The sequence below is a fragment of the Homo sapiens genome, chromosome 3, assembly GCF_000001405.40.
Source record: "Homo sapiens chromosome 3, GRCh38.p14 Primary Assembly".
Taxonomy (NCBI): Eukaryota; Metazoa; Chordata; class Mammalia; order Primates; family Hominidae; genus Homo; species Homo sapiens.
In genome coordinates this window covers 160,191,958-160,208,960 of record NC_000003.12, presented here as the reverse complement: position 1 = coordinate 160,208,960, position 17,003 = coordinate 160,191,958, and the positions used below count along the sequence as shown (strand labels likewise).

Here is a 17,003-nt window from a genome sequence, read left to right as displayed (position 1 = left end):
CATCAGCTCTGCAGATATATATAAATATATATATATATATAATTATTTTTTTAGATCTTCGGGCCTTTGAGACATCCTAAACTGTAAAGGTTTCCACTGTTCTTCCATGTTTATTCCAATGTTGTAAGATTATTTTACCATCAAATATCAATAATATCTGAAACCTAAAGAAACTATATAAAGTTATATAGATTGTATTTTCAACAGTTATCCAAACTATTATTTATTATTAGTTTAATATTCTTTGGAGTCATAAGGGCATTTTGATCTAAAGGCCAGTTAGTGCTTAATTGCCTTGTTGGTCATTAATGGTGTTGTACACTGGAACTTTTATAAGTCATGGCTCATAGATTCCTCACTTTACTCAATAGCAGTGATACAGGGGAAACAACCAACCATCCATCACCTTCCAATCACTGAAGTCAGAAGGGCCCATTTCTTCACTGGTTGCATATCACACCCTGACCCATATTCATTGCCACAGCGGTATCGGAGGGTGGTGACATGAGGGGCGATGAGGCTTCAGGAGCCGGTGCTAACAGTGATACAGGATTAGGGGACGTGGCAGCTCTTCTGAGAGGCAAGAAGGTGGTGAGAAGTGTGATGACCTTGCTTCTAAATCTCAATTCTGCCACCACTGACTCTATGAGACCCTTTTGATTTTCATTTTTGTAACATGAAAGACCTGGGTTTGGCCTGTGGGTTTTAACTTCTTTGGAGCCATGGTCCCCTTCAGAATGTCTGGAAGCTGGGACTACTCTCCCCGAATATGTACATGTGCATATATACCCCCAGTCCACAGCCCTGGAATAGATGGTCTTTATGAGCCATTCCAGCCCTGACCTAATTGAAAGTTCTCATGCTTCTGTGAAACATTATGGAAAGGAAAAGTTCATTACTTACATTCTGGAAATAAATGTTGCCATCATCCTTCATGACCCTGTGGGTGCATAAGTCTCATGCTGTAAAAAGCATCTTTAATCTAGTTTAATCTAATTAATCTAGTTAATGAAGCAACTCTGATTTGTAATGCTGGTCTTAAGGTAGGGAAGTGGGCAATTCATTCCCGGTCTTCAGGTAGGAAAAAAGGCAAAGAGTTCACACTTTTTTTTACAAAGTAGAAATAACAGTTTTACATTTTCTTTAAGTTTGCATTTTTTATTTTCAACAGGGTTAGGAAGCAGCCAATCATAACTCAAGCTATTGGGTAGTAATTATCCTTCATCCGCTAATTTCTAGGCAGGAAAAATATGATTAAAATGAGTTTCCGCACAGCTGTTGATTAGGCATAATGGGAAAGTCATCATCATAAAACTAATAATCAGAGCAGAGCTAACATTTGGAAAGTTATTGTTGAGTAACCGGAAGGCTCTAAAAGCCAAAAACAATGTCCAACTAACTAGAAAATTACCACCACCCCCACATACTTTCCTGTCTACACTTCAACATCAATTAAACACAGCAAACTAAAACCAGTTAATTACATCAATTTTAAGGTCAACTTTCAACAACTCAAACCTCTGTGATAAACAAACCACAATATCGAAAGCTTTTTTGAAAAGTCAATAAATAAACAGCCATCATTCTAGGAAAAGCTGCAACACAGTTAACAACACATCAATAAATTCTAAACAAGCTTTGTGCTTTGATTAGCTCAAACCTCCTGTTGCCTCCCCATGCCCCAAATATGCATTCCCATTCCAATCAGGCCAGTGTGCCTGTGGCCCAGGGATGCTGCAGTTGGACAGCTGTTGGAGGTCACCGCTGAGCAGCTCTTTGCAATTGCAAAGCTCCCACTGGAAAACAGAGATTAATGAGCTCACAAATGGAACAGCACATAATTTCAGATCTTGGTGATGATAACAAGGAGCTCTTTAGGATCCTCCTTGCTTGATAACAGAATCACTTTCTTTCTTACGTTTGTCATCCAGAAGTCTAAAGTCAGTAGCAGTAATGGAAAGTTGGGCTAATGTGGAGATATTCCAAACAGAGCAAGAGCAAATGGGATTCTTGGCTTGTCTCTCATCGTGATCCTGATTGAAGACCACTGGACACATCTGTCAAGACTCTAACCGCAATCCATTGGAAATCACTGGAGAGCCAAAGGTGAGTGAAGATGAATGTATGAATGTATACTAGGGAGGTGTGGTAAGATAGCCAATGGTAAAGACAATTGCAACTCTAGGGTTTGGAATATTACCATCCTTTGTTGTTTTCTCTCTACTTTTGCCCCCTCTTACTTTTTTTTTTCTTTTTATGCATTTAAATTTCTTAGAACTCTCTTTCATTGTCCTGGCTGGAAGCACTGGATTCCTCCTTTCAAATGAACTAAAATATTTTCCAAGATGTCAAGTCAATCTGGGCAAACTTTCTCAACATAACCATCCCTACATTCCAATATCCCTCTTTTTCATTTTTCCTTTAAAAATAAACGTGCATTTTTTTCTCAAAAGTGACTGAGCTCCATACTCCACGCAACCACTGTTTTTAGACCATCCAGATGCTTTGACACATGATTTTATATTTTAATAGAAGAAGGCTGAATATGAATTGCAAAATCATCTGTCTCCTTTTCCATCATAAGAATGTGACAACTCATTAATCTCAATTCCTTAACAAATAGCAGTCTTCTCACGTGGGTAAAACTCCATAATGTTAAAGTCATTGCTTTGCAAAGACATTCTCATAAGATTCTATTTCCAGGAAAACTCCAAATTTCTAGTGCTCTGAGTGTCGGTCACTTTGACAGAAGATGGATGGTCAAATATTTGAAATTTGCATTGAGAATTAAGGAGTTATCTACCTTTTCCTGGGATTACTTTGAGGAAAAGGAAAGAAACGTAGAGACTCTAACTGTGAGGAGTTGGAGGACAAAGACTCCACTGGGAGAAGCATGAACAAAAGGGAAAAGATGATGAGAATGATGGCACAGCACTGAATTAGCGAGGAAGGAGTTCTCTTGAATGATATTGGTCAGTGTTTGTCCTCAACTCTGCACACAAAGCTGTAGGCCTTGTTGCCTACTTTCTGGGTTACAATTGAAGCCAACAACTCTAGTTCCCCAGGACCAGAATGGTCCCACAAGACCCTCCTACTCGTGGTTCTAGGAGGATGATGCAAAATTCCTACTCACGCCCTGTTTGGAGAGGGCTTGGCTTCCCTGCTTGGGACAGGATTCCAGGCAGTGTGCCAGGAGGTATTCCTCAAGAATTTCACGAGGTCTAAACTAGGGAAACGTTTCACTTTCCATCCCCTTGTAGTTTCTTCTCAACCCCCTATGCTCTCATTCTCATATTTTAGGACATGTCTATTAATGGCATGATATAGAATGGATTGAGGTAGATTAAGAAAAAGTTGCAATAATCTTGAAATGTTAAGATTGGTGTTTCTGCTATAAGTCTTGTAGAATCACTGGAAGCTTTGAAGTGCCAAAGGATGTCCAGAGACTTCAGAACCGGTTACTAAATCTTTGCTTTTCTTAATCTTTATATTTCAGGATCTGGGTGGTCTCATTTTGACTTCATTAAATTTCTCAAATTTTACCTGCTGTAGCCCAAATTAGACTCTGCTTCTCCTTCTCTTGCCATCACCAGGAAAAGGGTGGAAATGGGTGATGCTGAAGTTTAGGTGTATTAGTTCATTCTCACATTGATATAAAGGACTACCTGCAAGGCGGGCTGATCCCTCGAGGTCAGGAGTTTGAGACCAGTCTGGCCAACATGGTGAAATCCCATCTCTACTAAAAATACAAAAAAAAAAAAAAAAAAATTAGCTGGATGTGGTGGTGGGCACCTGTAATCTCAGCTACTTGGGAGGCTGAGACATGAGAATTGCTTGAACTGGGGGCTCGGCAGAGGTTGCAGTGAGCCAAGATCATGCTACTACACTCCGGCCTAAGCAACAGAGTAAGACTTCATCTCAAAAAATTAAAAAATTTTTAAAAAAAAGAAAGAAAAAAAGGACTACCTGAGACTGGGTAATTTATAAAGAAAAAAGATTTAATTGACTCAGTTTCACAGGCTATACAGGAAGCATGGCTGGGGAGGCCTCAGGAAACTTATAATCATGGCAGAAGGCAAAGAGGAAGTAGGCACATCTTATGTGGAAGGAGCAAGAGGAAGAGAGCTAAGGGGGGAAGTGCTGCACACTTTTAAGCAAGCGGATCTCGTGAGAACTCACTCATTATCATGAGAACAGCAAGGGGGAAGTACTCCCCGGATATGTTTTGGCTGTGTCCCCACCCAAATCTCATCTTGAATTGTAGCTCTCATAATTCCCATGTGTTGTAGGAGGGACCTGGTGGGAGATAATTGAATCATGGGGGCGGTTTCCCCTATGCTGCTCTTGTGGTAGTGAATAACTCTCACAAGATCTGATGATCTTATAAGGGGAAATTCCTTTCGCTTGGCTCTCATTCTCTCTCTGGCCTGCTGCCATGGAAGATGTTTCTTTCACCTTCCACCATGGTTGTAAGGCCTCCCCAGCCACATGGAATTGTGAATCCATTAGACCACTTTTTCTTTATAATTTACCCAGTCTTGGGTATGTCTTTATCAGCAGTGTGAAAATGGACTAATACAGCCACCATGATTCAGTCACCTCCTAGCAGGACCCTCCTCCAACATTGAGGATTACAATTTGACACGAGACTTGGGTGGGACACAGAGCCGAACCATATCATTAGCGGAGAAATTGCAGGAACTTACTTTGATTGAGTGTGAGAAGATGACTCCACACCATTCTCTGCATGAGTTGGCATACAATTAAGATAGTCTGACAGACTGATTGGATCTTATAACCTAGGCCAAGGAGGCCATTATATCATTCATCACAAGCCTGCAGGCAGGCCCTGGTCAAGGCTAGCCTAGGGAGGAGAAGAGGAAGCAAGTCATGATGGGTCAATACCACCTTCTCTTTCTCAGCCTTCCACATCCTAACCTCTGCTGTTATTCTCAGCTGATGATCTCACTTTCCACCTTTTTAGGAAAACAGAATCTAGATGTACAAGTCTACTGAGGTAGGGCCTCTCTTCTCTGTTGTTTGAGCCTCTCCTGCCACCAAAGGCCAACCCTCCACTTCACCTTCTCAAGGACCTTTTCCCTTTGTTTCTCCTCTCACTTCTGAATCTTCAGCATCTCTCCCCTCCCTTTTTTTTTTAGACAGAGTCTCACTCTGTCCCCCAGGCTGGAGTACAATGGCACCATCTCGGCTCACTGCAACCTCCACCTTCTAGGTTCAAGTGATTCTCTTGCCTCAGCCTCCCAAGTAGCTGGAACTACAGGTGCGTGCCACCACACCCAGCTAATTTTTGTATTTTTAGTAGAGATGGGGTTTCAGTATGTTGGCCACGCTGGTATCAAACTCCTGACCTCGTGATCCGCCTGCCTCAGTCCCCAAAAGTGCTGGGATTACAGGGGTGAGCCCCCGTGCCCAGCCAGCATCTCCCGCTTTATTCAATTACTATCATGACTAGATAGACATGTCCTTAAAAACACAGAATAACCCCCCTCCTCCCATATGTCTCTCCTGATGCTTTCCCATTTCTCTTTTGTTAAATGCCAGCATCAGGATATGGGCAGGAATGGCAGTAGGGTGATCCAGAGAAAGTAACAAGGGAAGAAAACATAACTCTATTATGAGAACAGGTTAGACTTCTCCCTGCACAGGAAGGGGGAGTGGTGGTGGGTACTTGTAGGTAAGTGTGAGCAGAGTGTGAGGATGAGTGTTTATTCTAACAAGCATTTAGTGAGCACTTACTCTCTGACAGATACTCTGCCAAGTGCAGGGAATGTAAGGATGGCTAGCATTTTGTCTCTTCCCTGTGAATACAGAAGTGTGAGCCTAGAAAAGAGAGGAAGAAAGGAAGAAGGAAAGAAGAAGGAGAGAAGAAGGAAGGAAGTCAAGGCAGCAAGAGAAGCTAACTGCCCCCACCCCCAATCTCACCTCCATCCCAGTAACACAGACTCCTGGGACTAGCTGAAAGTGATGGCTAGGATCATGGCCTCCAATATAACATCTTTAGAAAGCCCCTGAATGGCTTGAACTTAGGAGGTCGAGGCTGCAGTGAGCTGTGATTGTGCCACTGCACTCCAGCATGGGCAACAGAGCAAAACCCTGTCTCAAAAATAAAAATAAAATAGAAAGCCCCTGAGATTTATTGAGCCCTTGTTCTGCACAACTCTGCTTTCAGCTTCCTATCCTTGTACTCTTGAGCACACTAGGCCTTTTACCCAGCCCAGGAGCAGTAGCAGCAGGGCTGGGGTCAAGATGGCAGTTGAGTATTAGTACAATTTTCCAAGAGCCATAACCTTAACCTAGTAGCTAGGCTCCAGATGTTTCTGTCAATGCACAGGCCTTTTGGGGAGCCTCCTGTAGACTCAAAAACATAACTCTTCTGGTTTAAGTGTCAGTATGCTTTAGTCTTTTTTGTTTGTTTGTTTTTTGAGACAGAGCCTCACTGTGTCGCCCAGGCTGGAGTGCAGTGGTGTGATCTCGGTTCACTGCAACCTCCACTTCCCAGGTTCAAGCGATTCTCCTGTTTCAGCCTCCTGAGTAGCTGGGACTACAGGCACATGCCACCATACCCGGCTAATTTTTGTATTTTTAGTAGAGACGGGGTTTCACCATATTTTTCAGGCTGGTCTCGAACTCCTGATCTCAGGTGATCTGCCCACCTTGGCCTCCCAAAGTGCTGGGATTACAGGCGTGAGCCATCATGCCCGGCCAATATGCTTAGTTATAATGGTCATTTACAAATTAAGAAAATTGTTTCTCACTCTGTGTTCATGCTGTAAGATTGAGGTGACCTTGAGAAGGCGAAGCATTTCCTCTTAACACCTTTCATGTTCTGTATCATTTAAAGATAGTGCTGGGCTGCATGCAAGAGGAAGGGGCACTGGCAGTGACTGAAATAAGTAGGGAGGTTATTTATCTCATGCATCAAAGAATTCCAAGATAGGCAATAGGGCAGATATTGCAGGTCACGGTGACCCCAAAGATCCAGGTCCCTTCTCTCTTCCTGCTCTACCATCTTTAGACAAGTGCTTGGCACTTGTAATACAGCAGCTGAAGATCCAGGCATGGCTTCTATATTACAGACAGGAAGAAAAAAAGGGGGCACAGGGCAAGGGCTAAAGTGCCCACCAGCCAAGTCAGTCTCCTCTAAAAAGCTTTCCTGGGATCTCTACCCAGTGAATTCCACTTATATCTCACTGGTCAGAACTGGGGCACATAAGCCTCTTACTGTAAGGGAATCTAGGGAGGTATTTTAGTTTTCTAGTCTTTTTATGTGATGAAGACAAGGGAAAATTGAGCACTGGATGGCTTTTGAGTAGCTCACAGTGTGTGCCACACACCCCATGGAGCTTTCTCCCTGAAGCAGGAGTTTTCAGCCTGAATGTCCATTTGTATCCCTGTGGGCTTTTAAAATTAAAGCCCAGGAGCCCTCAGACCAATGAAATTAGAATCTGCAGGTGGAACATAATGTCAGTAATTTTATTTTTTTAGAGGCAGAGTGTTACTCTGTTGCTCAGAATGGAGGGCAGTGGTGTAATCATAGCTCACTGTAATGTGAGCCTCCTGGCTCAAGTGGTCCTCCTGCCTCAGCCTTACAGGTACCTGGAACTACAAGTGCATGCCACCATGCCTGGCTAATTTTAAAGTTCTCTGTAGAGATGGAGGACTTGCTATATTGCCTAGGCTGGTCTTGAACTCCTGGTCTCACACAATCCTGCCTCACCCTCCCAAAGTGCTGGGATTACAGGCGTGAGCCACTGTGCCTGAGCAACATCAGTAAAGTTTTAAGATCCTCAGGTGATTCCAAAGTGCAGTCAAGATCTGAAGCCGTTATTCTGCAGGCTGCCCTGAGTGTTAATTTTAATGATTCTCATTAGGAACAAGTGATAGACTATAAAATGTTAGAGGCTGGGCAGGACTTTCATGATCATAGAACAAGATTTGCTCAAGGTTAAATTTGTAGTCAATGAAGAGTTTGGGGTGGCATAGCCAGATCCTCCACCCCACCCCTGCAAATAATAATAGCCCCTGCTCAAGTTTCCTATTATATCCAGTCAAATGCAATGTGAAATATGTGGCTGTTTGGAAGAATTAAACCTTGATCCAGTTAGTACTGAAGGTTGAGGAGAGCAGGTAGCCTTGGACTGTAGCTGTCTCTCCTACACTCCAGTAATGATGCTCAGCTTGAAATCCAATTTGGGATGAGTGTGTAATTTACATGTTTATTTAATTCAGAGCCACTTCTCAGTAAATAGGATGCTCAGGGGCTTGAATTACCAAAGCTCTCTCTACCCAAGGCTCCCTTACTAATCTACTCCTGACATTTATTCACTGTGTGTGCAGCTGCCAAAAAGCCCAATGCTAAATGCCCTCATTCAGCTGGAGGTTTTGTCTTCTGAAGCCAAACAGCTGGTCTGTCTGAGTCCCTGGTGGTGTTGATTAACATGGGGTTTTCCAGACTGTTAGCACTGATGACAGTCTACAGATTACCCATCCAAACTAAAGCTTGGGGAGGTTAGGTGGAGTGACTTGTCCAAGGTCACCGAGACTATTTGTTGCAGCACCAGGATAATAACATCAGCCTTTAGGTTAACTCAGCTGGAGGTTGTGTGTGTGTGTCTGTGATATGGTTAGGCTTTGTGTTCCTACCCAAATCTCATCTTGAATTGTAGACCCAATAATCCCTATAATCCCCATGTGTCAAGGGAGAGAGCAGGTGGAGGTGATTGAATCATGGGGCGATTTCCCCCATGTCGTTCTCATGATAGTGAGTGAATTCTCATGAGATATGATAGTTTTATAAGGGGTTCTTCCCCTTTGCTCAGTTCTTCTCCTTCCTGCCACCTTGTGAAGGTGCCTTCTTCCCCTTTGCCTTCTCCCACAATTGTAAGTTTCCTGAGGCCTCCCCAGCCATATGGAACTGTGAGTCAATTAAACCTTTCCTTTATAAATTACCCAGTCTTGGGTAGTTCTTTATAGCAGTATGAAAATGGCCTAATACAGTGTGTGTGTTTTGTGTTTTTTTAGACAGAGTCTTGCTCTGTTGCCTAGGCTGGAGTGCAGTGGCACAATAATAGTTCACAGCAACCTCAAACTCCTGGGCTCAAGCCATCCTTGTGCCTCAGCCTCTGGATTGGCGAGGATGATAGGCATGCACCACCATGCCTGGCTAATTTTTTAATTTTAATAGAGACAAAATTTTGCTGTGTTGCCCAGGCTGGTCTTGAATTCCTGGACTCAAGCCATCCTCCCGCCTCGGCCTCCTAAAGTGCTGGAATTACAGATATGAGCCACTGTGCCCAGCCTTGATGGGATGTTTCTACAAAGCAGAAACATAACAACTTTGACTAAAGATACACTGGTGCATAGTTATTGCCCTCCAAATTTTCAGCATAAACCTTTAAATAATTCGGAACCCTGAACACACCCATCTTGCAGGAATAACTCAGCTAGCAGAGGGAAAAGCAAATAATTCTATGCTTTTCCTGAATTGGCTTCCTGCCTGCACTGCTCAATTACACCAAAAGGCCCTGTCAGCACCTAGCACATGCCTGGCCTACATGGGTTCACTCTAGATGGTTGTTGGTCTGAATTGATCCCTGCAAGGGCTTTGCTTTGCTATCCATTATTTAGAACACCTCTGCAGGACCACATTATTACCAGCTATTACATCTAGAGCAAAGCAGCAAGAAATCAACTATCTTTGGGATTTATGTGAAAAAGACTCGTGGTAGCTGGAAGTCATACATAGACCGATGAGTGTTTTACGGTAATGTGCTCTCAAAGTTCAATTTCTTAAGTTCTCTAGGTGATGCAAAATGATTGATTTTGAAAATGAATGCTGAAGAAATAAATTGATTCCTTTGAAGTAAGTGGACCATTAATTCTTGACCTTAAAATCTCTAAAATGTTTTAAAAGGAGTTGACTTAGCAGTTACTGCATTTTATAGAATTAACTCTTTTTCTTTTCTTTTGTTATATTATCTTGCTGGGGCCCATCCACTAGCTTCATAGTTCTTAGAAAAATAGGATAGAGCCTGCTATTGGCCATATGTTTCTTAATGCCTTACTTTAAACACACATGTAGTCAATGCTTGAAGGTATAGTGGGGGAAATTAAATCCATGGAAAAGCTCAAAGCCACATTCTACGCTACTTTAGGAAATGGCTGGTTATTTTGGCTGTGGCTCTAATTTGATCGCATTACTGAGGCTGACTGTCTTACAGCAATCCCTGGAGCAGTGTGATTTGGCCCACCAGGGTGCAAGCTCCTCACTTGGTTGTGTCTATCCAGACTGAGTGAGAGGCTCCACTTTACTCTGTGTGGAAACTTCCCCCAAGCTGCCACTGTGGAAGCTCTGGTGAATGGGCTTAAACTTCATTCATTTGTTCATTTCTTCATTCACTTATACCTTTATTTAGTCAATATTTAGTGGTTATCTACTATATGTTAACAGGCCTGCCCCTAACATTTGGAGAGCAATTGGAGGCCCACATACTATATGTCTAAATTTTAAGTTATAAATCAAACTAATGAACTGTTCCATCATATACTGTCATAAAGACCTGGAGGGCCGGGTTCAAATGCATAATCCTAGAGCTCCCTGGAGTTCTGCATTGGAACTCAATGGTGTGTGGAGACCTCCCCCATACCCTCCCTTGGCCCCCATATGGGAACGGCCCTCCCTTTTCTTCTCTCCCCCAACTCTCCCTGTCTGCCCAGCATTCTGAGGGACCTCACCTGCATGTACTGCTCCGTGGCCACCCATTGGGTCTTGGGGTCTCACAATGGTGTGTATTCTACCCTAGGGAAGATAAGAGGCCCACAATTCCTCCCTGGAAGTGGGTTTAGGGCCATTTGGTCAGGGACTTACTGATTCCTGGGTACCCATAATGCCATCTAGAAGAGGAGATAATGGGCTCTGGGTGGGTACTTCCTTTGGTCCTGTAGACCCCTTATCCTATGGGGAGGGCACAGCTGCAAAGGCCCAGAGCAGACCCTCTGGGCATTGGTTCAGGGCCCAGGGCAGGGGCTTGGCTGCCCCTCGTCTGAGGATGGTGCTGTTTGCCAAGTGCTGCAAGGCGACAGTGAGCAAGACTCCTGAGATTCTAACCTCACTGAGAGAGATAAAAATAAATGGATAGGTGGGCGCAGTGCCTCAGGCCTGTAATCCCAGCACGTTGGGAGGCCGAGGCAGGCAGATTGCTTGAGCCCAGGAGTTTGAGACCAGGCTGGGCAACACGGTGAACCCCTGTCTCTACCAAACAATACAAAAAAATTAGCCCAGCATGGTGGTAATTGCCTGTAGTCCCAGATGCTCTGGAGGCTGAGGTGAGAGGATTTCTTGAGCCCGGGAGGTCAAGATTGCACCACTGCCCTCCAGCCTGGATGATAGAGTGAGACTCTGTCTCAAAAAAAAAAAAAAAAAAAAAAAAAAGAAGAATAAAGATGAGTAGGATAAGGGTTTGGAGGCATTCAATGATGAGATACAGAGTGATTGATGAATGCTACTTTAGGGTGACTAGGGAAAGGCCTCTTGGAGGTGATGATGTCTTCACTGAGACCTAACTATATGGAGGCACTGTCCAAGCACAGGGAGCGCAGGGGCTGCAATGGCCCAGAGGCAGACTTGAGGAACCAGGTGGTAGGGAGCCCCTGGTACTGGGTTGTGGCTTGAGGGCAGTGAAAAATGGGCTGTGTTTGTAGTGGCCAGTAGGAGCTAAGTGATACAGGGCCCAGAGGAAAGAGAAATGGCCTGAGACTTCCCAACTGGCTGTCTCTGAGCAAAGGACATCCCTTGGCCTTAGCAGCCTCACCTGTAAAATTGAGATGCCTCATCTCTCTCAGAGGGCTGCAGAGGAACAGATGAGATGCTGCTGCTTCTGATATTGGACATGAACTAACTAAGCAATGATGTGCAGCAATGAGCTGCCTTGGACTGTGCCAGGGACTGCTGCTGGGAATGGCTCAGGAGCGTCTTTTTGCAGCTCTAAGGGAGGATTCTTTCTAGGGCATACTCACTCCCCAACCCCCACTCTCAGATGGGCTTTGAAGCCTTTCTCATGGCCTCTGTCTGTCCAGGGAGATAGCTCTCTGCCGACAGAGCAGAAAATGTCTGGGAGGCTGTGGAGCCAACACAGTCTGGACAAAGCAGCTCCTCTGCAGCCCTTCCTCGCCTGTCAATAAGGAAAGCCCAACCTACCCCAGACTGTGCCCTGGCCAGGAGCTGGAACGATGACTAAGAGTCAATCCCAGGGGCTCCAAACCAAGACGTCAATGGCCCACTTGGCACAGAAGCAACGTTAGCTCATCAAACACCAACTTGCCGGGACCAGCAGTGGGACTTTTCACCCAACCTCTCTCGGTTAAGGCTGCTGTTTAGTGAGAGGAACCAGAGGCCACATTGCGTGGTGTTTCTTTTTTAGGTCACTGTCTACACTGTACCTTGTGAGTTATCTGTTATCCTCAGTATAGACTGTGAGCTCAAACATTCCCAAAAGATCTTTTTGACATCGATACAAGGTCCCAAGTTAAGGAATCTCTTCAGAGATTGTGTAAGAATCTTCCACAATGGCGGTAGCTACCAGCTGTTACCCACTTTCTATTTGTCAGGACCCACACTGAGCACTTGAATCTCACAACCACCCTATGAAGGGAGCACCATTATTATCTCATTTTCCAGATGAGGAAAACATATATTAAAGGGATTGAGTAGCTTCCTTAGGGGCATACATTTGAGATTTGAACCTAGGCTTGTTTGACTCCAAAGCGACACTCTTTTTTTTTTTCAACTTTTATTTTTGGTTCAAGGGTATATATGCAGCTTTGTTACACAGGTAAACTCATGTCGCAGGGGTTTATTGTACAAATTATTTCTTCACCCAGGTACCAAGCCCTGTAGTATCAATAGTTATTTTTCCTGATCCTCTCTCTCTTCCCACCCTCCATCCTCAAGTAGGCCCCAGTGTCTCTTGTTCCCCTCTATATGTCCATGTGTTCCCATCTTTTAGCTCTCATTTATAAGTGAGAGCATGCGATATTTGGTCTTCTCTTCCTGAGTTAGTTTGCTAAGGATAATGGCCTCCAGCTCCACCCGTGTTCCTGCAAAGGACATGATCTCATTATTTTTTATGGCTGTGTAGTATTCCATGGTGTATATGTACCATGTTTTCTTTATCCAGTCTGCCATTGATAGCCATTTAGGTTAATTCTGTGTTTTCACTATTGTGAATAGTGCTGCCATGAACATTCGCGTGCATGTGTCTTTACGGCAGAACAATTTATATTCCTTTGGGTATATACCCAGTAATGGGATTACTGGGTGAAATGGTAGTTCTATTTTTAGCTCAAAGTGACACTCTTAATCACAGTGCTGTAACATCATCATCATCAGCAGCAGCAGCATCCTAATACATTTTTAGCAGAGTTTTGTACACATTAAATCATTTAATCCTCATAACCTTAAAGAGAGTTATTATTATCCCATTTTACAGATGAGGAAATGGGTACAGGGATTTTTAAATAACTGAAGTCTCATTGCTCATAGGTAGATAGTTTTGTAAATAAACACCTATCACCCAGAGGGGTCAGCTGAGGCTTAGTGAGATGAAGCATCTTATCTAAGATCACATGACCAGTCAGTGGCAAGGCAGGGACTGAACCTGAAGTTTGCCTGGCTCTCAATGCAAGCCCCTTAGAAATCTGCACTGAGTCTCCAACATGAGGACTCCCTGCCCCATATTTCAGTGCCTGGAGCAGAAAAATCTGGGTGGGGGTGCAAGAATTATTTTCACAGGGGTCCTTCCTGTGTGCATGTGCCATGTGTGACTCAAGCACCCTGGGAAACTGAAGGTTCAAGGATCATTGTGCAAGTCCTCCTTGTGGTGGATGTTTTCACAAGTATCACTGAAGGACAGATGATGAAAGAAGAAAGGAAAGCACAGGAGCTGAATAATCCAGAAACTGGATAATTAAAATGGACTCTATTTGAGAACTACCTGGCAAAGACCTCTTGCTGGCTACAATATCAGAATTCAGAGTTGAACCCAAAAGTTAAATGGCTACTTTCAATACAATTACAGTGCTTGGGCAAAACCATCTTTCTTTAAAAAAAAAAAAAAGTTTTCCAAAGGGAAGGGACAAACCTACCATTCCTTTCCCAGCAAATTTGAACAATTTGGATGGTACAATGGAAGAATTTAGCCTGTTGATGATAATAATGATGATGATAATAATGTCTCACTTTAACTTAAAGTAAGAGTCATAATGAAAGGCACGGGGTTAAATAAAGAGCATTTGCTTACTTCCTTAATGCCATAGGTTTAGATGAAGCATATATGATATGTCAAGTCCTTGAGTTAGGCAGTGAAAACCTAGAACTTGTCTGAATGTGGTTTATTTTCCAGTGGGGAAGCAGACATCAACCAAGCATCACAAGTGACTTTCAGAATATCAAGTGGGTGCAAAGATAGTCTTTTTGACAAATGGTCTGGAACAACAATATCCACATGCAAAAAAATGAATCTAGACACAGATCTTCACAAAAATTAACTCAAAATGTGTCATAGATCTAAAGGTAAAATGTAAAACTGTAAAACTAGAAGATAACATAGAAGAAAACCTAGATGATCTTGGGTTTGGTGACGACTTAGATAAAAGAGGTGATTAGAAGTAAGCAAGGGCTGTGAGAAACAGGGTAAAATGTTTGAATTTGGGCCTAAAAGTAAAGCCAGAAGTGCAGAGCTGTGTTATCAGCAGGATCAATCACATGCAAAGGCAAAGCAGGTGAGGTTTTGTGTGACTGGGTTGCCTCCTTTACTCTTTCCTCAACTCCCCCTGCTCCCAGTGTCTAATATTCCAACATTAATGGCAATCACTTTATTCCTCCCACAATTCCCTACTGCTGTGCCAAAAATAGTCTGGTACTCCCGGGGAGGGCTGCCAATACTGAAGAGATTACAGACTGGGGGATTTGAGAGCAGGCCCTATGGTGCATGTAGAAAGCAGGGTGGCACTGGGTGTCTAAGGATGGGTCTGGAGGGGAAGCTGGAACAGCAGCAGAGGAGGCGGGGCTCTGGGTCTGTTGTATTCCCTAGGGTGGCTCTTGACTGACAGCTGCACTAATTGCAGATTACATTGCTGATACATTATCCATATAGCTGAATTGATAATGTTTTGACAGCGAAATGTTTTATGACTAAAGACTCCCAAGGTGAAGGAAACCAATTATGAAACATGATGGAGAATCTCACAGAAGCACACACCACTACGCTCTTTGTGGGCACGAACGTGTGTGGGTCATGGTCATGTGCTTGGCCCTGCTTTCAGCACTTTGTAAAACCCCCCACCAGCCCCCATCTCATCCTGGCTCTGACCTGCCTCTTTCCAGGGGTCTCTTGGCCAAGTTTCTCTTCCTGCCTGCCCCTCAAAACCCCATGCTCTGTTTTAAAACCACTGACAATCCTGTCTAAATGACTTTATTTGCAATAAACCCATTTTTACCCCAAATGCATACATTCCTGTGTTAGTGTTTAAAAGCTAATGGTGGCACTAAAGTGTCATTTGTTCATTCACTCATTGGTTCTAATAAATGGCATTCATCAAATGCCCATGATATCCACTAAAGTTAAACATGCCCATATCCTATGACCCATCAATTTCACTCCTAGGTATTTACTCAAGAGAACTTAGTGCATGTGTTTACAGAAGCACATATATGTGAAGGTAGACAGCAGCTTTATTCATAATTGCCAAAAATTGGAAACAAACCCAAATGACTGTCAAGGTGAATGGATACACAAATTGTAATATATCCATGCAATAGAATACCCTGCAGCAATTAAAAGGAACAAACTATGGGTCCGTGCAACAACATGGATGACTCTCAAAGACGTTATGTTGAGCAAAATAAGCCAGTTAGTAAAGTCTACATACAATATAAATCCATGTTAAGAAGTTCAAATCAGGTGAAACAAATCTATGGTGTTAAAAGTCAGAATGCTGGTTGCCTCTGAGGGAGGGGGCTATTGACTGGGAAGGGCATAAGCAAACTGGGTTATTGAGCCTGGAGAAGCCTTCTGGAGTGATGTAATTTTTCTAAGTCTTGACTTGGGTGATTTGCTTACATGGGTGTACCCATATGTAAAAATTCATCAAGCTGTACACTAAGATCTGTACACTTTACTTTAGATAAGCTATACCTCAATTTTAAAAAGTGTTCACCACCAGGGCAATGTGCATCTGGGCTGAGTCCAGCTGTTCCAGGCCACCACTGTTGAGAAGAGTCAATGGCCCAGATGAGGGTCTGGGCAGCCCTCCCTCAGGGCCCTAAGGAAAATGAGCAGTCATTGGGTGACAGCACTAACTGCGGCTCAGGGTACTCCAGGGAAAGAGAAAAGACTGTTAAGGCAGAAAAGAGGTGTGTCTGGTGGTCACTGCTGAGGCCTGCAAGGAAGGCTGATCCAGTGTGGACCACAGCAGGGTCTCAGAGAGGCAGGAAAGAACCTCCCTCATCAGTGCCAGTGGCTCAGAAGCTGGAAGAACTGCACAGCTGTGGGCAGGCCAGTAGGCAGTGATCCAGGGAATGGAGACCCAGGGGTCTTCTTACCAGGAAGTGAACATGTGGAGGAGCAAAAAGAGAGATACCCTGTGAATAAAGCAGCTCCTTTCTATTTTTGAATGTGTACAGACATTATTTCATTTAAGTCTCACAACTCTGTGACATAGCCTGTATTAGCCCCACTTTGCAAACAGGAAACTCAAATCTGAGTTCATAAGATACCTTGAAGGCCTGCAGCCAGTCAGTGCCTCATTCAAACCCAGGGCTTGGGGCCCAGAACCTGCACCCCAGCTACTACACTGTCTGCCAGATAACGAGTGTGAGGACAGCTTATTCAACCCATGATGTCCGTCACACATAAACTGCCTGTTTTTTCAATGTCTGTCCCCATCTATGCTCTGCTCCTGAGTCAAAGGCTTCCTTAATGTCA

At 43.7% G+C, this 17,003-nt stretch overlaps 1 long non-coding RNA gene across 1 annotated transcript in view; it reads left to right on the top strand.

The window, feature by feature from the left end:
* The first annotated feature begins 1,868 nt into the window (after positions 1-1,868).
* The window catches only part of IL12A-AS1 (IL12A antisense RNA 1), a 293,693-nt gene continuing 278,558 nt past the window's right edge, over positions 1,869-17,003 (top strand). The window contains exon 1 of the long non-coding RNA NR_108088.1: positions 1,869-2,106. This is a non-coding gene — a long non-coding RNA (IL12A antisense RNA 1). The remainder of the gene's footprint in view (positions 2,107-17,003) is intronic.